This window comes from Homo sapiens, chromosome 2 (genome assembly GCF_000001405.40).
Source record: "Homo sapiens chromosome 2, GRCh38.p14 Primary Assembly".
Lineage (NCBI taxonomy): Eukaryota > Metazoa > Chordata > Mammalia > Primates > Hominidae > Homo > Homo sapiens.
The window spans coordinates 26,266,834-26,287,599 of NC_000002.12; the positions used below are offsets into that span (position 1 = coordinate 26,266,834).

Here is a 20,766-nt window from a genome sequence, read left to right on the forward strand (position 1 = left end):
CCCTCCAGCCTTGGTGATGGAGTGAGACACTCTCTCTCAAAAAAAAAAAAAAAAAAAAAAAGGATTGTAAATGATAAATAATTTATGGCTTAGGCATTTTCAAATTGACACATGACTTTTCCCCAAATAATTCTGTCCTAAATTTGAGGAAACTGGATTTACCTATGAAAAATTTGGAAAACTACTCATGGTTCTCCTGTGATTCTGAGTGAAAATGACAGTAAAAATATTTTGGAGTTTTTAAGTTTTAATTTTCAGGGACTTGAAGAATGAATCTTCTTATTTAATCCAATGATTAAATCTCTGACTTAAAAATAAAGAGAATTTATTTTTGATCTTTAAACAAACAAACAAATAAATAGAGTTCATACCCAGATCTTGGTTTCTAAATAGCAGTCTTCAATACAAAGAACCAGAGCTCCTTTGAAGAATGATTAGGGCTGAGCCAGAGAAAAGACAGGATGAGCAAGGAGAACTTGTAGTGCCGGAAAGCAAAGAAGTACTTAAAAAAAAGAGGGGTTCAGGGGGTCATGTCAAAAAGACACAGGTCTGACCTGCAGGAGCTACCGGTCACCAAAACTGCAATGATTTGAGCAATAAAATAAATTGCAATAGTATTGGAACATAACCCAAAGAATAAAACAAATGCCTACGAGTCTAATCTGATATAAATAAGTGAATAAATAAATACACATTGGGAGGCCAAGGTGAATGGATCGCTTGAGGTCAGGAGTTCGAGACCAGCCTGGCCAACATGGTGAAACCCCTTCTCTACTAAAAATACAAAAATTAGCTGGATTTGGTGGCAGGCGCCTATAATCCCAGCTACTCAGGAGGCTGAGGCAGGAGAATCGATTGAACCCGGGAGGCAGAGGTTGCGGTGAGCCGACATCGTGCCACTGCACTCCAGCCTGGGCAACAGAGTGAGACTCTGTCTCAAAAAAAAAAAAAAAAAAGAGTAAATAAATGAGAAAGAATGAACAAGTCTTCCTTACAGAAGAATTTTGATTAATAAATATAGGAGGACTGTGTACAGTGGTTCACACATGTAATCCCAGCACTTTGGGAGGCTGAGGTAGGAGGATTGCTTGAGGCCAGGAGTTCGAGACCGGCATGGACAAAGTGAGACTCCATCTCTGCAAAAACTAAAAATGAAAAATTAGCTGGGTGTGGTAGCAGACACCGGTAGTCCTACCTACAAGGGAGGCCGAAGTGGGAAGATTGCTTGAGCCCATGAGTTTGAGGCTGCAGTGACCTGTGATTGCACCACTGCATTCCAGTCTGAGTGACAGAGTGAGACCCTATCTCAAAAAATAAAAATAAATAAAGAATGAGAAAAATAACCATTAGAATACCACATAATACTTGCTGCGAGATCTACAAATGAATGCTAAAATTAGGTGAAATGCTAAGAAGAAACAGAATATTTGCATAGTCTCAGAGAATCTCCCCCAAAATATTTATCAATTACTATGATGATTTCGACATACGTCCGCAAAGTCTGTGTTATTCCTGCCACTGGAAGGTGGAACTTAATTCTCCCCTCAGAATGTGGGCTAGACTTAGTGACTCACTTCTAACAAATTGAGATAAGAAAGGAAAAAATAGTAACTTTATAGTGGAGTAAACTGGCAGACATCACTTGACCCAAATCATCACTTTAACATCACTGGTAGTAAGTCATGTTGATATCATGTGCCCCCTGATACGAAGCTAAGAGAAATACAGTTTACCTCTGTGATATTCTTCCCCTAAATCCATAACCCCAGTCTTCAAAAGTGTCAAGGTCATGAAAGACAAGGAAGACTGAGAAACTGTCACAAATTGGAGGAGACTGAGGAGGCATGACAACTAAATGCAACATGGTATCTTGGATTGAATCTTGGAACAGAAAAAGGACATTAGTGGAACAACTGGTGAGACTCAGATAGGTAGTAGCTTAGTGAATAGTATTGTGCCAATGTTCATTTCTTAGTTTTAATAAGTATATCATGGTTATGTAAGATGTCAGTATTAGAAAAAGCAGGGGAAGGCTGGGCGCGGTGACTCACGTCTGTAATCCCAGCACTTTGGGAGGCCAAGGCGGGCAAATCACCTGAGGTCAGGAGTTCAGGACCAGCGTGGCCAACATGGTGAAATCCCATCTCTACTAAAAATACAAAAAAATCAGCTGGGCGTGGTGGTGGGTGCCCGTAATCCCAGCTATTCGGGAAGCTGAGGCAGGAGAATTGCTTGAACCCTGGAGGTGGAGGTTGCAGTGAGCTGAGATTGCGCCATTGCACTTCAGCCTGGGCAACAAGAGCGAACCTCCGTCTTAAAAAAAAAAAAAAAACAGCAGGGGGAAAGAGGAACTCTGCTCTCTTTTTCCAATTCTTATTTATGTATTTACACAGGGTCTTGCTCTGCTGCCCAGACTGGAGTGCAGTGGTGTGATCCTAGCAGCCTCAAATTCATGGCCTTAAGCAGTCTTCTCACCTCAGCCTCCCAAGTAGCTAGGACTACAGATCCATGCCACCACGCCTGGCTAATTTTTAATATTTTTTGTAAGAGACAAGGTCTTGCTTGCTCTGTTACCCAGGCTGGTCTTGAACTCCTGGCCTCAAGTAGTCATATCACCTCAGCCTCCCAAAATGTTGGGATTCTAGGTGTGAGCCACCATGCTTGGCCTCTTTCCAATTCTTTGGTAAATCTCAAGTTACTTAAAAGCAAAAAGTTTCTTCAAAAGTCCTAATACATCACCTGTAGCCCTGTAGGCATTACAAAATAAATAAATAATATACTTTTAAAATAAAATGTTTAAAGGAAAAGAGACCTCAAAGGTGGGGCTTCACTTTAAAGAAAATTTAGCATATGTTATACTGAACATTAAGGTGTTGGACAACATTTTTGTTCGATTCTTAGCAAGCTCAGGAGGAGTTAAGGCTTGCTAGACTTTTAAGGATGACAAATAGCGAAGTCACACTATTTCTTCATTTGAAATGATGGACTGCCTTGGATAGTAAAGTTAAGTGTGTTTGTAGCAGCATGTGTTTGATGATCTCTGGGTATTTCAAATAGAATGAAAATTTTTCATTGAAGCTCTAGGGTTTTGGTTTAAATTACTGGTTTTCGTTCCCCAGATATAAAGACCTGATGCCACATGATTTGGCTAGAGCAGCGCTTACGTAAGTAAATGCAGTTTCATTTCCGTTCTTATTTCATTAAAGGCACTTTCTCCAGTTTTTACACATAAAATAGCAATTTGTTCTTATTTTAGCCATCTGTACTATACAAATTTAAGCAGCTTATGAATATTGTCAATCTTTATTTTGCAGGCCTAACAGTGTCTTAGCCTGACAGTATACTTTAATGCTACCTTAGCTAGCCACAGGACTCGATTGATCAGCCTAAACACAATACATATATTTGATGATTGCCTTAGGAACTTGTATAAGGGTAGCTGAACAGATTATGTAGATATTTACCTAGAAAGAAGCCTAAAAGACACCTGAAGATTCATGTGCAAACCAAGTAAAAATGTAAAATTAGATGTAGTTAAATAAGATTAGGCTGGATGAATAATTTGGTTGAGAATCATTAAATGTGTTGCTGTTTCATAACATGTAAGGCATTATCTCTTCATTTTCCACTGACACTTTGCCTTTGTGTCTTCAACCAGCCACAGTTCTTTCTTAGTTTGGAGAAACCCTTCAGTTGACCTTTCTGTCCATTCTAACTCTATGTTTGTTTTTTTTTTCTTCCTGCAATACCTCAAGCATGAGTGAAAGAGCAGTTGTTTCTGTTTCCTTATTATTAGTTTCCTCTGTCTAATTGTATAATCATTATTTCCATTTTCCCTTTGTTTTACAGAAACCATACTTTAGAATCTTCTCTTAATAATGGTTTTATGATTGCTCAATGTACTGATCCTTTCTCAGTCCTCTGTCTCTGTACTTTATAGCACTTGACACTGTAAGCTATAATCACCTCTCTTCTGTTGACTTCTTAGTAATATGCCTTTATGATTTTTCTTTTTCTTCTGTATCCTGACTGATTCTTCTGTAGCTTTTTTTTTTTTTTTTTTGAGACGGAGTCTCGCTCTGTCACCCAGGCTGGAGTGCAGTGGCGTGATTTCGGCTCACTGCAAGCTCTGCCTGCCGGGTTCACGCCATTCTCCTGCCTCAGCCTCCCGAGTACCTGGGACTACAGGCGCCTGCCACCATGCCCGGCTAATTTTTTTTTTCTTTTTTTTTTTTGTATTTTTAGTAGAGACGGGGTTTCACTGTGTTAGCCAGGATGGTGTCGATCTCCTGACCTCGTGATCCGCCCTCCTCGGCCTCCCAAAGTGCTGGGCTTACAGGTGTGAGCCACTGCGCCCGGCCGATTCTTCTCTAGCTTAAAAAAAAAAAACTGGGCCAAGCACGGTGGCTCACTCCTGTAATCCCAGCACTTTGGGAGGCTGAGGTGGGCAGATCACCTGAGGTCGGGAGTTCAAGACCAGCCTGACCAACATGGAGAAACCCCATCTCTACTAAAAATACAAAATTAGCTGGGCGTAGTAGCACATGCCTGTAATGCCAGCTACTTGGAAGGCTGAGGCAGGAGAATCCCTTGAACCTGGGAGGCAGAGGTTGCAGTGAGCCGAGATCACGCCATTGCACTCCAGCCTGGGCAACAAGAGCAAAACTCCGTCTCAAAAAATAAAAATAAAAAACCACACACACACACAACTGGATCTCTCCCTCTTTCTCTTTTTGAAAGGTGTTTTGCAAGTTTCATTCCTTAGAGCTTTGCATTTCTCTGTATGCATATTTTCCTTTAAAAATCTCATCTACTAGCTAGGCATGGTGTCTTACACCTATAATCCCAGCACTTTAGGAAACCAAGGCAGGAGGATCAAGGTAGGAGGATCTTTTGAGCCCAGGAGTTTGAGACCAGCCTAAGCAACATAGTAAGACTCCATCTCTACAAAAAAAAATTTTAAAAATTAGCCAACCAAGAGAATTCAGCTCAGGAGTTGAAGGTTGCAGTGAGCTATGATTCCACTACTAGACTCCAGGCAGGGCAATCGAGCAAGACTTTGTCTCAAAAAAAAAATTTTTTTTAAATTTTTAATTTATTTTTTTCTGTATGGAGTCTCACTCTGTCCAAGGCTGGAGTGCAGTTGCTTGATCATAGCTCACTGCAACCTCGAAGCCTCCCAGGTAACTGGGACTATAGGCGTAAGCCAATGTTTCTAACCCTCTTTTTAGTTTTTTTAATTGATAAAAAACTACAGATTTTACAGATTTTTATTTATTTATTTCATTGTAGCCAAGTTTAGTCATTACTCATTTTGAAGCTCAGCTTATTCCACATTTTATCTGGCACTCCTTCAAGTTGGCTCCTGTGTGCCTTTTGTTTTTTAGTATAATGCTGGTTGTTGATATATAATTTGCATGCAATAAAGTGCACAGATTTTAAGTGTATAGTTTGATGAGTTTTGACAAATGTATATACCCCGTGTTCCTGTTTTTGATATGGTCCCATTTGTCTTTTTTTTTTTTTTTTGACACAGAGTTTCGCTCTTGTTGCGCAAATTGGAGTGCAGTGGCACGATCTCGGCTCACTGCAGCCTCCGCCTCCCAGGTTCAAGCAATTCTCCTGCCTCAGCCTTCCGAGTAGCTGGAATTACAGGCACATGCCACCAGTCTTGGCTAATTTTTTTTGTATTTTTAGTAGAGACGGGGTTTTGCTGTGTTAGCCAGGCTGGTCTCGAACTCCTGTCCTCAAGTGATCCGCCTGCCTCGGCCTCCCAAAGTGCTAGGATTACAGGCTTAAACCACTGTGCCCGGCTGATATGGTCCCATTTGTCTTTGAGTGCTTCCTTACTTTTGGCACAAAAAAGATGGAAATTCACTTTGTACTTTCTTCTGGACCTGGTATCAGTCATTTCTTAAAAAACCTTTTGTCCTTTTAATGGGGAATGGCATTTAGAAACCAAATCTGGGGCCGGGTATAGTGGCTTACACCTATAATCCCAGCACTTTGGGAGGCCAAGGCTGGTGGATCACTTGCAGTCAGGAGTCCGAGACCAGCCTGGCTAACATGGTGAACCCTGTTTCTACTAAAAATACAAAAATAAGCCAGGCATCATGGCAGGCGCTTGTAGCCCCAGCTACTCAGGAGGCTGAGGTGAGAGAACCACTTAAACCCAGGAGGTGGAGGTTGCAGTGAGCCGAGATTGTGCCAGTACACTCCATCCAGCCTGGGTGAAAGGGCAAGATTCTTATCTCAAAAAAAAAAAAAGGAAACCAAGTCTGGGTTCAGGGAGTGCTCATTCCTACTGGAGTGTTATTGTGTCTAGTTTCTATTCATGGGCACAACTAGAATATATGTATTATTTCAATCATTTGTTGATACTGATATTTCAAACTAAAATTTAACATACCCAGGACTTCTTTTTTTTTAATTTTTTTTAATAGTCTTAAGGGAGACTTTGCTTTATCTCTTTGATTGAATATTTGTCTCTCTTTTTCACTGCAAACTTTGGTTTCTACTAACATTAATTAACATTAATTTATAGGTTTCTTATCTATTTTATTCTATTCCAAATTATTTTTTATTCTCTAACTTCTCATTACCAATTCAGCATCAAATGTTGACTTTTAAAATCACTCTTTCATTCATTTCTTCTTTGAGAAGGTGCCAAATGCTTGTCAAATTAAAGAAAAGATACAGTCTCTGTCCTTTTAAATTCAAGGCTAACCTTTTTCAAGGAGCGCAGTGTTTTGTGTGATGATCTCTGGCACTGCCTTGATGTGTGAAATGTTTCTTTGCTTTGGATTTCTACTTCCAGGGGTTTGTTGCATCGGACCAGTGTCCCTAAGGAAGTAGTTGATTATATCATCTTTGGTACAGTTATTCAGGAAGTGAAAACAAGCAATGTGGCTAGAGAGGTGAGTAAAACAAACTTTATGTTGTTTAAAGAGTGATAGGAGAATCACTTTGAATTTCAATTAATAGAAGTTACTTTACAAAAGCCTTTAAAATCTATTGAGTTACATTTGACCTAAAATGTGATTTTACAGCTTGGGTAATGTGTTATTTAATATGTAAAAGAATTCTAATATAAATCAAATGACATACACTATATTAGTGTATATCCATACTTTACTGTAAATCAAATAAATTATTTGAGCTGGTTTAGGACATTGTCTCTTGTGTTAGGAAAATAGAGATCAGCAAAGTGTGGCTGATAGTATTTTTAGTAATGTTAGATATCATGGCTTCCAATTAATTTAAAATTTCAACATGTTGCAGAGAACTAATTTCATAACTTGACTTTTGTTAGCTGGAAGTAGCCTTGCTTACTCATTTGTTCCCATCAACTAGATGGCACGTAAGGCAGCTTGGCTTTTTAAAAACTATTTCACAGGAGTTTACTTTTGCCCTAGTTGGCATAGCTCCATGTAGTGTCGATTGGGCAACCAAGATAATGACAGGCCTTGGAACTTCTAGGATGTGTCCTACAGGCAAATCCAAACACGTCTTCTGGGCTGTGTTTTCATTTAAAATCGATTGGATGAAGTTGGCACCAAAAGCACATTTCATTGTACTCAGTATTTTCCCTAGTTCTGGTCTGTGCTTGCCATATTGTTGGGTTCAGTATCACTGTCAACTGAGAGACAAGGGCACATGAGCAGGACTGAAAGTATTTGTTCTGTTCCACCTCTGTACCTGGCAGAAATGTTAGAACTGCCAAAGGCCTGGCATGACTGAAGCCTACGAAACTAACTGTGTGCTGTTGAGGGGCAGGAAGGAATTAACAATAGGAAGAGATTTTATTTCCCTTCTGAAATTTTTTGTTTTTCCTTGAACCTTGACATTTCTGAATGTTTCAAATATGATAATTTCATGAGTACATCAAGCTGCTCATAATACATTTTCAACTTTTATATTCTGAAAATAACCTATTACTTTTATAAGAGCACTTAAGATGTAAATAGTAAATTTTTTTGCTGTTTTCTCCTCTTGCTCAGCTTTTTATCCCATCCTTTCTTCCTTCTCCTCCTCCTCAAAAAATAAAAAAATAAATAAATAAAAATAAATGTTTCCATTTTCTCTGTAATTCAGTTCTTTTTTTCCTAAAACTAAAGCCATAATGTTTTCCTCTGAAATTTTTCCTGGAAATTTTACATCCATTTGCAGATCTCAGCTATTGATTGACAGGAGGTAGATTCCCTCTGCCTGCCCTGTACTAATACCAGTTATGTTGTGCTCCAGGTAATTTTTGCAGCATCTGCAGGGAGAGATTGGGTTGAGGGGGATACATTATGAGAATGTCACTCTAAAGCTGTATTGCAACCTAAAAGCTAACATAATTTCCAGCCAAAGAATTTCTTAGGCCCTATTGCCTGTATTAATAATGTTAATATACAGTCCTTGCAACCTAAAAGCTAACATAATTTTCAGCCAAAGAGTTTCTTAGGCCCTATTGCCTGTATTAATAATGTTAATATACAGTCCTAAAAGGCTCCTGGTGTTCATGAACCTGACTTTGTTGAAAGGTTCAGCATATTTCCCTGTTCTCCAGCTTAAAGACATCTTCCTCCTTTTCCCTTAGTGCCCTGAGAGCTATTCAAATTTCAATAGAAGTGTGTGGACAAGGGTCACCAATAGCCACCTCTATTTAAAGCTCCTTCCGTCCTGAGAGTCATCTAGGGCCAAGGGCAACACAAATTAGAAAGGCCCTTGTGAGAATCGAGCCATTGCAACCTAAGTGCCCCTTTTACACTTGCCCTTTGCAGAGCTCTTCCCTCCTGCCCCCCTGAGATACTTGCGTCTCTCTTCCTTTCGGATTGGTTTACGTTGAGAGGCTGATGCACAGGTGCCTGGCAGAAGTTCTCAACAAAGCAGGTTGGGCATTTAGTATCAGGCCTACCTGGAAAGACCAGAATGAGGTCATGTTGCAGTTACATCACTAACACATTTCTGTTTCTATAGATTATGGTAAATAGCATAAAAGTAAGTAAGTATAAAGGTAAAAATCAGTTAAGAGACATTGAATTTCTAATTGAGACTTTGGAAACATTTATTTTACTAAATTATAGGAGAGTGTGTTCTGAGGATAATTAATAGTTTCAGGGAAAGAATACTAAAAATGAATTCCCTATAATGGGATCCAGTATTTCATAGTAAATATTGTGTGGGTGTGTATGTGGGAGGAAATCTGGAAGCTTTATTTCTAAAGTAAAACTTTAATATTATAAAAATAAGTATTTTATAATTGCACCTGTGCATTAATTATTTACATAAACAAAAATGGAATCAGACGTTGATTGGTTTTTGACAGCATAATTTCCCCCAATAAATAGTATAATAAAATTATAGATGTGCTCATTTCATGTTTGACTTTCACTGTGCCATTATAATAGAGGCCATTTTTAAAAGATTAATAATGACCTCAGTTTTTCTTAAAGCCGCTCAGATGACAAATTATTCTCTTTGTATCACGTATTATGCCATCATCCTGGCCACTTGTTAGTTGGTCTGACCCTTATTTGTTCACAGACTCACTTGTAACTCAGGCAATTCTCCAGTTTCTTTCATTGAGTTGAGCTTCTGTATAGTTGGCAAGTTTTCCAGTTCATCTTTGCATTGGGTCTGCAGTGTGCTATCTGAAGTATCAGACGGTCAGTAAGAGAAACCAGCTGGCAGTGAGCAGAAAGATAGGTGTAAAGCAGACAGGGTCTTGAGTGGGAACTCTGTTTATGAAGGGTCAGTTCTTTAGAAATCATTTTCATGTTTAATCACTTTTGCTTTGCTGCTAAGCTTTGTGACTGATCATGAGACCTGATAACACAGATAGTGAGGACTCCACCCCATAATATATTTCATCATCATTCCAGCAACTGTCTTTAATAGGTTCTTTTAAGTATATTTGAACATTAAACAAGTTAAAATCAAATTATATATTGATATTCTTGAAGGCCCTGAGCAAAACATCGATAAGAAATTAGGTGAGTTAGGAGAGTATCATAGCCTCGTGTCTGCACTAGAAACCAGCCAGCAGGAATTTTGCATATACCTGTCAATTAATGGCAAGATTAAATATTAGTGAACCATTTCTGTGATGGACTTCATTTGATTTTAAATATTGCTCTGGAGAATGTTAAACTGAAACCGTTTCCAGATGACTATGAAGATTAGTGCTCAAAGCATCATTTACATGATGCCCTTCCCTTATAGTGATCATTTCATTCACTCTATTTCCTAAAGGCTGCCCTTGGAGCTGGCTTCTCTGACAAGACTCCTGCTCACACTGTCACCATGGCTTGTATCTCTGCCAACCAAGCCATGACCACAGGTATGTTTAAATGGAAACAGACAGTACATGTTAATTATTCTCCTTTGTCTTTTACTTGATTATAAAAATGTACTTTTTTTTTTTTTTTTTTTTTTAACACAGAACCTCACTCTGTCACTCAGGCTGGAGTGCAGTGGTACCATCATAGCTCACTGCAGGCTCAAACTCTTGAGCTCAAGAGATCATCCTGCCTTAGGATCCCAAGTAGCTGGGTCTACAGGTGCTCCACCACACCCAGCTAATTTTTAAATTTTTTGTGGAGACGGGATCTCGCCATGTTGCCCAGGCTGGTCTTAAACCTCTGGCCTCAAGTGATCCTTCTACCTCAGCCTCCAAAGTGCTGGGATTACAGGCGTGAGCCACCATGCTCATCCCAAAAAGTACTCTTAACAGAAGTAAAAGATTAGCACAGATCTCTATACTTGTGTTTTTTAAAAAGTAAGGTCAGGTTTAAAATTTGGGGGTTCTAACCGTAGTTAACCTCTTTTTTTGCTCTCCATACCTGAGGAACATTACCATTGGCGTGGTTCCTCTGTGAATAATGTGGCTGGCTGCAGCAGGGATTATCAACTGGAGGAGTGTATCTCTAGGAAGGTACTTCAGCATCTGAGGCATGAGTAAATAGTTTACAACCTGCCAGGCTTTCAACCTAGGTGCTTCAGATATGATATTTTCCCACAAAGATATGGTCTTCCTTCCTTCACCACTACCATACTTGTAAATCATTGCTTTAGATGGCACAGCTCTTTCCTTCACTTTCTCCTTACATCCTTGTCATTTTTATAAATCACTGAAAACCCCACTAACAAACTTTAGCAAAACTGTGGGATATTTTGTAGCATCAGCTCTTAGTGTGAGGAGGCAAGGAAGCCTGAAAGATTTAGTAATCATGTGCTCATCTAGTAACATCAAGGCCCAGGTGGGCACCCCACCTCATGTGTGGCGGGGAATGATGCCCGTGACTGGGGGCGTTCGCCACTCTAGGCAGCATGTGACCAACTCCTGGTTAGAGAAACAGAATACTGGCCAGTGGCCATAAGGAGAGAGGGGGCCTGCCTTACGTTTCAACAGCTGTAATTTCTCTGCTTTGCAGCAGAAGTTAACATTCTCTTTATAGGATAAAAAATCTTTATTAAAACTAAAGCTGGGAGCATATAAATATGCAAGATGTTCTGGTTTGGAATATGATTTGTTCAAGAGTTGGTCCAATGGATATTCCTAGAAGTTGACGTCCATATGGCAGGAATGAAACTTGTTTTTCTCTAACGTGTTGAATGTGTTTTTAGTCATTTAAGAAAATTACCTTAATTCTTCTGAAAAGTTGAAAACTTTAATTACAGATGTTGTACAAAGCTGATAACTGTCATTCAGCTTTTTAATCAAGAAGCTTAAATTGGAATGGTATGTTATTTTCTGTAAAAGATATTCATGAAGTATAACCTGTGCCCTGTAGGTGTTGGCTTGATTGCTTCTGGCCAGTGTGATGTGATCGTGGCAGGTGGTGTTGAGTTGATGTCCGATGTCCCTATTCGTCACTCAAGGAAAATGAGAAAACTGATGCTTGATCTCAATAAGGCCAAATCTATGGGCCAGCGACTGTCTTTAATCTCTAAATTCCGATTTAATTTCCTAGCACCTGAGGTAAGGCTTGTGTTTGCAGGGCATCCCACTGCAGAGATTTAGAATTAGGTATGGCAGTGTGGACTCTGCTATGCTGTAATAGGTGTAGATTCTGTAGTTACAGGAAAGGGTTAATTACTTGCTCAAGATGGAAAAAAAAGATAGTGGTTAGAAAACTTTAATTTGTGAGCCCTCTTTAGAGATCCTCTTTAGAGATCCTCTGCTTGTCTTGGACTTGATTGATTAATGGTAGACAAATAGATTTTAACTTTTCCAAATAACACAGAACAATCCTAGGTGTTAGCATAACACCGGTTAACAGTGTACCTGCTCCTTGGATATCTCCTTTCCCAGCTCCCTGCGGTTTCTGAGTTCTCCACCAGTGAGACCATGGGCCACTCTGCAGACCGACTGGCCGCTGCCTTTGCTGTTTCTCGGCTGGAACAGGATGAATATGCACTGCGCTCTCACAGTCTAGCCAAGAAGGCACAGGATGAAGGACTCCTTTCTGATGTGGTACCCTTCAAAGTACCAGGTGAAATGAAATGCTTCATGACACTTATTAGGGAGTTCTGAATTGCTCCTAAAACTCAAAAACATCCCGAGTGATTTTTCCATAAGTATGTTGGTTCTGTTTCCAAAGTATTCAGCCTTTATTCTTAAATATGGATGCAAATTTTGATTTATGTTGTAACAATAGGTTAACATTTTTTAATGTTTCTATAAGAGTGTCCTTTTAAGATCTGAGCACTAATCTCAGCACTTTGGGAGGCTGAGGCAGGAGGATCGCTTGAGGCCAGGAGTTCAAGACCAGCCTGGTCAACAGCGTGAGACTTCATCTCTAATTAAAAAAAAAAAAAAGAAAAACAGAGTCTCCTTTTAGATCTTGCTGATATATTTTAGTTCTTACATACATGCCTGTTTTTAAAATTCCTGAATCGTCTGACTTCTGTATAGAATAGCCAACTGTGAATGAATGTCTTAAGAAAATAGGGTGTCCTATTTTTAGTAAAGCATTTAGATGATTTCCCAATTGTCTTTTAAGACTTTAGTTTAAAATTTGATAATATGATAATTATAAAACACTTTCCTTCTAGTGAATAGGTAAGGTTTATATTTCATTTGTTTTTGTAATTTTTAAAGCATATTTCTGTGGAGAAGATATATAAGGCTTGTGGTTCCATAGAGTTAAAAAAATTCATTTTTTTAATAGGAAAAGATACAGTTACCAAAGATAATGGCATCCGTCCTTCCTCACTGGAGCAGATGGCCAAACTAAAACCTGCATTCATCAAGCCCTACGGCACAGTGACAGCTGCAAATTCTTCTTTCTTGGTAACTGTCAATGTTATTTGTATTTAGTAGTGACTTTTCTATTTCTGTACTCTCTGTAGAAAAGCCTAATATAACTTTTTGTGTGTGTTATGAATAGAGGGTTAAAAATATAGTTATTCATTTTAATGTGAAAGTGGAGTCATTAAAAAAAAAATAGAATCACGGTTTTAAGGCCCGAGAAGTCACCTAATCCAGCCACCATTCTGCCACAAAAGCTCTTCCTTTCAGGCACTTAACCAGTCAAAAACTTCTATTGCTTATGGTGGGCCCTGGAAATGAAAAGAATAGACAATTGCAATATAGTGAGATGCTGTGATGGCTGTAAGGCTTAGGTCGAACCCCTGACCCAGATGGGGGGACAGTCAGAGAGTCTTCTTGGAAGAGGTAACACTTGAGCAGCAAATCTTGAAGGAAGAGTAAAAGCCAACTCAGGAAGGATTTTAAAAGGCATTTCAGGCCGGGTGCGGTGGCTCACGCCTGTAATCCCAGCACTTTGGGAGGTTGAGGCAGGCAGATCACCTGAGGTCAGGAGTTCGAGACCAGCCTGAGCAACATGGAGAAACCCCGTCTCTACTAAAAATACAAAATTAGCCAGATGTGGTGGCACATGCCTGTTAATCCCGGCTACTCGGGAGGCTGAGGCAAGAGAATTGCTTGAACCCTGGAGGCGTGGAGGTTGCGGTGAGCCAAGATCGCACCATTGCACTCCAGCCTGCACAAGAGCGAAACTCCCATCTCAAAAAAAAAAAAAAAAAAAAAAAAAAAAGGCATTTTGGACAAAGGGAATAGCAAATGCAAAATCAAGGAAGTATGAGAGCAAGGGGTTCTTTGGGGAAAAGTTAGGTTGGAGCATAAGGTATGAACTGGGAAGTCGCAGAAGACAAGGAAAAGCAGGCAGAAAGAGTAACAGGATACCTCTTCCAGCCCTGATTGTTAGAAAACTGCTTTACACTGACCCCAATATTATTTTCCTGTAAGCATCATGGAACAAATCTACCACTGTTTGTTTTGTGTTTTTTTTTTAACTTATCAACATGTAGCTTCATATCCTTCCATGCTTTTCTGACTCCTCAATTAAACATCTTTATTGATTCTGCTGCTGCTTGTAAGATGTGATTTCTCTTCTCTTACCACCTTGGGTATAGTCTTCTGGATATAGGCCATCTGGTCAGAGTTTCTCTTACAATGTAACTCTCCTACCTGGCCATAAAGTCTTGAAAACATACGCAGATGTTTGACATATTTGCCCATGGTAAATGACTAATTAATGCCTGCTCTTGATAGGCTAGGGGAGTGGAATCTGGAGTAGTTCCAACAGGATGGAACACCACCCTGTTAAGCCCAGGTGGTGAAGAGCTGGTTAGGTTGGTCATTTGCAAAACCGAATTGGATGATAGAGCCATGTGGCATGGACTACACTTGCCAGATCTGAATCCTTTTGATTATTTCCAGGGTATGCTAAAGGTCCAGGTTTATTTAGTGAGAATCAGAGACACAAATCATCAGAGGTGACACATCACAATACATGGATTTTGGGGACTGCATTAGTGCCCCACATTCATTGCAATTTTGCACAATGGCACATTGAACCTGTTATTAATGTAATGTCTGTAAACCATTTATTCCATATGGTCACCTATGTCTCCAGACTTTATGGACACCCTATTGGTGGCTACACAGTCTCTTCAGGGTTGCCGAGTTATAAAAATACGACAGAATGTGGTAGAACTTATTTTGATTTTACAAATTATGAAGAATAGTTTCCTTTTCTTTGGAATTCTGAAGTTTTTGGGGGAGCTTTTCTTCTTTGAAGTATGGTAAAGGACGTTTTTTCAGTAGTACTTCTTTGTCCTCCAGCTTCTCGGTTGTCATTTGGGAAGAAATGTATGGGGTGTATCCAAAGAGGGAAGATTGTGGTTCTAATGTCCTCAGCTGGTTCTCCCATTGGTTTGCTCGTTACAGAATATATAAGTAGAATAAAATGACCTGTAAGCCACGGGCAGAAAGCAGCTGAGAGCCCAGAAAATGTAAAAATAAATAAATAAGAGATATGTTTATTTTGGTTCATATTTTGTGCCACAAGCTAAAAACTTTGGCTTAAATAAGTGTTTAGTGTTTATTATGAGCAGTTCTTTCTTTTTTTTTTTTTTTTTTTTTGAGACAGAGTCTGGCTTTGTCACCCAGGCTGGAATGCAGTGGCACGATCTCAGCTCACTGCAACCTCCGCCTCCCAGGTTCAAGCAATTCTCCTGCCTCAGCCTCAGCCTCCCAAGTAGCTGGGACTACAGGTGTGTGCCACCACACCTGGCTAAGTTTTTCTATTTTTAGTAGAGATGGGGTTTCACCGCGTTAGCCAGGATGGTCTCAATCACCTGCCTCATGATCTGCCCGCCTCAGCCTCCCAAAGTGCTGGGATTACAGGCATACAGGCATGAGCCACCACGCTTGGCCATGAGCATTTATTTCTAAAGTTACCTCTTCTGTTGATTCATTTTGATTATTATGATACTTTTGAACAGCCTTCTCTACCCTCATCCTCCAAAAATGAGTCAGCGTGTGTATGTTTGAATTATGATTTAATGATGGATACAGTGAAGTAAGTGTTGTTATATAGAATCACTGTATAAGTCTAATGAGTTAATAGATTCAGGTACAGATATATAAGATGGCTGGAGAAAGACCTCCAGACAGGCTGAAGAATTTTAACATTGTGCTGGTTAACATTTCAGACTGATGGTGCATCTGCAATGTTAATCATGGCGGAGGAAAAGGCTCTGGCCATGGGTTATAAGCCGAAGGCATATTTGAGGTAAAGTAAATGTTCAAACAAATCATCTCTGATTTCTTTATTTTATTACCAAAGCTCACCTCTCTATTTTTTTACCTAGGGATTTTATGTATGTGTCTCAGGATCCAAAAGATCAACTATTACTTGGGTAGGTAGCAGTTTGTATCCTTGGACTATAATCACAAGTATTTGATTGCCTATGTTTTATTATACTGGTTAATAAATGATTAACACTGGTTTATTATTTATTTGTTTATTACACTGGTTTGAGAGTATATTAAGCCCTGAGTTCATAATTGGTTTATGTGGTGGTTTTTTTAAAAAAAATAATAGTAATCTGGCCGGGCACGGTGGCTCACGCCTGTAATCCCAGCACTTTGGGAGGCCGAGGTGGGCAGACCACGAGGTCAGGAGATTGAGACCATCCTGGCTAACACGGTGAAGCCCTATCTCTACTAAAAATACAAAAAATTAGCCAGGCGTGGTGGCGGGCGCCTGTAGTCCCAGCTACTCGGGAGGTTTTGGCAAGAGAATGGCATGAACCCGAGAGGCAGAGCTTGCAGTGAGCCAAGATCACGCCACTGCACTCCAGCCTGGGCGACAGAGCGAGACTCCATCTCAAAAAAATAAATAAATAAATAAAATAGTAGTAATCCTTTCCATTGGTATATCATGTTACAGTTTTGGATTATTTTCCATTTTTTTCCTATAAGTTTTACATATATATATGGACACACACAACTTATATTCTTTTTCATTAAGATAGCATATGCATTTTTTCATATGGCTACACACCCTGCTACACAATCTTCCTAATATAGCCTTTTATAAAAGCCTCCCCATGTTTAGACTCTGTTCCGTTCCCTCACAAGGCTGTAGCCTCTAGCCTCCACTGTGACGTTCACATCAGTCAAGCCCTTTCCCTTGCCTTGCTCTTTGAACTCTGTTCTTCCAGTTCTTCATGTTATTAGCTTGTCCTTATCCCTCACTGTTTATTTATTATCAATTTCTCTGACTCTGCAACATAAGAGTAGAGGGCATGTCTGTACAGTTTCACTATTTTATCTTTAACATTTCATTAATCAGTACAGAAAAATCAAAGAATGAGTGAAAAGACATTAGAGTACCTATGTAAAACTCAGTTTGGGGAATATGAAGGAGCTCTTAGTTTAAAAATTAAAGTTTTAAGATATTACTTATTTTTTCTTTGCAGACCAACATATGCTACTCCAAAAGTTCTAGAAAAGGCAGGATTGACCATGAATGATATTGATGCTTTTGAATTTCATGAAGCTTTCTCGGTAAGTAATTTGAAAGACACATATGAAGGGACTATAGTCATAAAAAATGTCATCCATATTTGTGGGAGAGAGCAAGGCATGGTTTATGATGTGAGTAGAGCAGGAGTGGACCTGCATATTTTAAGTACTGATTCACACTGCTGGGAGGGGCCCGAGGGGAGGGAAGCAAGGGCCACACATACAGTGTTGGAGAACATACCAAATTGCTTCTTTAGGAAATTGCCATTGAAAACTGATACAAAGATTTGTTCAACTTTACTTTTTTTTTTTTTTTTGGAGACAGAGTCTTGCTCTGTTGCCCCAGCTGGAGTGTAGTGGCACGATCTCGGCTCACTGCAACCTCCGCCTTCCAGGTTCAAGCAATTTTCTTGTCTCAGCCTCCCGAGTAGCTGGGACAAGCAGGCGCCTGCCACCATGCCCGACTAATTTTTTTTATATTTTTAATAGAGACAGGGTTTCACCATATTGGTCAGGCTGGTCTTGAACTCCTGACCTCAGATGATCCACCCGCCTTGGCCTCCCAAAGTGCTGGGATTACAGATGTGAGCCACTGTGCCTGGCCGATTTGTTCAACTTTAAACCATACCTAAAGTTGTTAAACTTTCACAAACCATTCCTATAAGAAAGCGTAGAGGAACATGAATAACGAGGTTCTTATTCGATTATTTTCTCTTCCAGGGTCAGATTTTGGCAAATTTTAAAGCCATGGATTCTGATTGGTTTGCAGAAAACTACATGGGTAGAAAAACCAAGGTGAGTTTCTAATTTTAAAAAATGCGTGAATTTTCAAAGCACGTTAATAATTGGATCTTAGTTACCTGTTCTTAAGAATATGAAGGGAAAGCTTCTCTTTCTTTTGAAGAATTTTGTCTTTCATTAAAGATATTTATTTCTTAGTGTAAAAGTAGAAATTCTTGTATTTCATTAAATATATTTATTTCTTAGTTTAAAAATAGAAATTATTTAGCAAAAATAAAATTCTGTGTTTTTTGTTCCTTGCATTCTGACATTAGATGAAAAATAAATGGACTCCTGACTTTTAATATTGACCTAGACTTACTTTCTTTTGCAGTAAAATTATTTGTAATATGTCTGACGTTACGTATTTTCCTCTATCTCTCTTACTTCGTAGTACTAAGAGCCTAGCTTGATTCTGATCTTAAGTAAACTTATCTTTACATTTGTGTCTTTGGGGGAGCCAGGTTGGATTGCCTCCTTTGGAGAAGTTTAATAACTGGGGTGGATCTCTGTCCCTGGGACACCCATTTGGAGCCACTGGCTGCAGGTTGGTCATGGCTGCTGCCAACAGATTACGGAAAGAAGGAGGCCAGTATGGCTTAGTGGCTGCGTGTGCAGCTGGAGGGCAGGTACGTTACAGTGGTGTCATAGGACCCTCCAGAGAGTCATTTTCTTGGAATGACTAGAATGTATGATTTAGTTTGAAACCTTCTTAAAGCAATATTTTTGATGACCTGGGGGTGGGGAGTGGGGAGGGATAACAGCTGTAATTCTGATAAAACTTTTTGTTTTTTGGGTTTTTTTTTTTTTTTTTTGAGACAGTCTTGCTCTGTCACCCAGGTTGGAATGCAGTGGTAATATCTTAGCTCACTGCAACCTCCACTTCCCGGATTCAGGTGATTCTCGTGCCTCAGCCTCCCGAGCAGTTGAGATTACAGGTGTGCACCACCATGTCCAGTTAATTTTTGTATTTTTAGTAGAGACAGAGTTTCGCCATGTTGGCCAGGCTAGTCTCGAATTGCCGACTTCAAGTGATCCACCCTCCTTGGCCTCCCAAAGTGCTGTGATTACAGGCATGAGCCACCATGCCCTGCCATAATTCTGATAATTCTTTGGAAGGAAACAGCTATTTAAACCCAAGCTATTTTTCCCCAATATAATGTTTATTTTTTACTTATAAATATATGCTGATTATGAAAATTGTGGAATATATGAAAAGTATATAGAAAAAGTTAGAATCATCTATAATCTCCCCATCAGACATTAACATTATTAACATCTTGATATATTTTCTTCTTTAATAATTAACTTTTATTTATCTAGTCACCATAAGACTTTATAAAATCTCTCCAAGAGAGAAACTATCTTTCTAGAGAACTGAATTATACCTTAACTGGGGAGTTAATTTACTTCTGGATAACTTACTGCTGTTCAGCTGGGGAAATATATTGTTGACAGATTTTTTCCTTTCTACTTCACTTGCATTAGAGACCCAACTTCCTGACTGCTGTAGCATCTCACTCTAGGAATAAAATCCAAAAGGAAGATTGTAGTTTGTTTTTTGTTTGTTTGTTTTTTGAGACAGAGTCTCACTCTGTCCCCCAGGCTGGAGTGCAGTGGTGCCACCTCGGCTCACTGCAACCTCTGCCTCGCGAGTTCAAGCGATTCTCCTGTCTCAGCCTCCTGAGTAGCTGGGATTACAGGTGCTCACCACCAAGCCCGGGCAATTTTTTTTGTATTTTTAGTAGAGACGGGGTTTCACCGTATTGGCCAGGCCGGTCTCGAACTCCTGACCTCAGGTGATCCGCCTACCTCAGCCTCCCAAAGTGCTGGGATTACAGGCATGAGCCACTGTGCCTGGCCTGTTTTTGTTTTTTTTTTTTTTTTTTAATCCCGATGTGAACAGATTTTCTCTTCCTCTAGATTACAGAAACTTCCTGTTCCTGATCAAAATGAATAAATATTTAAAAGCATAAACTGGCCGGGTGCAGTGGCTCACGCCTGTAATCCCAACACTTTGGGAGGTTGAGGCGGGTAGGTCACTTGAGGTCAGGAGTTCGAGACCAGCCTGGCCAACATGGTGAAACCTTGTCTCTACTAAAATTATAAAAACTAGCCTAGTGTGGTGGTGTGCGCCTGTAATTCCAGCTACTCAGGAGGCTGAGGCAGGGGAATCGCTTGAACCCGGGAGGTGGAGGTTGCAGTGAGCCGAGATGGCGCCATTGCACTCCAGCCTGGTGACAGAGAGAGACTCTGTCTCAAAAATAAAGTAAATGAAATAAATCTTACGTTTAAAAGCCCTTTTTCATGGATTTTCCTCAGAGACTTTGCAGAAACCAAGGGGTCAGTTATTTATCAGTTGGAACATTTTGGACTTTATGATCACAAATGCTTTTTAATCTGTGTAACTTCATCTACAGAAAACCATGGTCCATTAAGACTAGAGCGATCCCTCTATCTCTTCATGCCAGGCTTCTACCAGGGAGATAACCTGTACACATTACTCACGAGCATAGTGCGTAATCCACATAGGGTAATGTCTGCAGATTTGAGTATGTGTTCCCTAATTCTTTATCTAGCATGTAGAGTATAAATAACACAATACTGGATGCTTTTATGGATGAACAAGGAATAATACCTAGCACCTTTCTTCTAGA

At 39.7% G+C, this 20,766-nt stretch overlaps 1 protein-coding gene across 4 annotated transcripts in view; it reads left to right on the forward strand.

The window, feature by feature from the left end:
- Positions 1–20,766, forward strand: part of HADHB (hydroxyacyl-CoA dehydrogenase trifunctional multienzyme complex subunit beta) — a 45,527-nt gene that overhangs the window by 21,895 nt on the left and 2,866 nt on the right. For 3 of the 4 annotated variants that reach the window (XM_011532803.2, NM_001281513.2, NM_000183.3), the window contains 11 exons: positions 3,120–3,164; positions 6,818–6,917; positions 10,240–10,327; positions 11,781–11,968; positions 12,302–12,482; positions 13,161–13,282; positions 16,012–16,091; positions 16,171–16,218; positions 17,284–17,371; positions 18,050–18,124; positions 18,574–18,738. In XM_011532803.2, coding sequence (XP_011531105.1) covers positions 3,120–3,164; positions 6,818–6,917; positions 10,240–10,327; positions 11,781–11,968; positions 12,302–12,482; positions 13,161–13,282; positions 16,012–16,091; positions 16,171–16,218; positions 17,284–17,371; positions 18,050–18,124; positions 18,574–18,738 — 1,180 coding nt within the window. The remainder of the gene's footprint in view (positions 1–3,119; positions 3,165–6,817; positions 6,918–10,239; positions 10,328–11,780; positions 11,969–12,301; positions 12,483–13,160; positions 13,283–16,011; positions 16,092–16,170; positions 16,219–17,283; positions 17,372–18,049; positions 18,125–18,573; positions 18,739–20,766) is intronic. The other variant, NM_001281512.2, reaches the window with a different exon arrangement.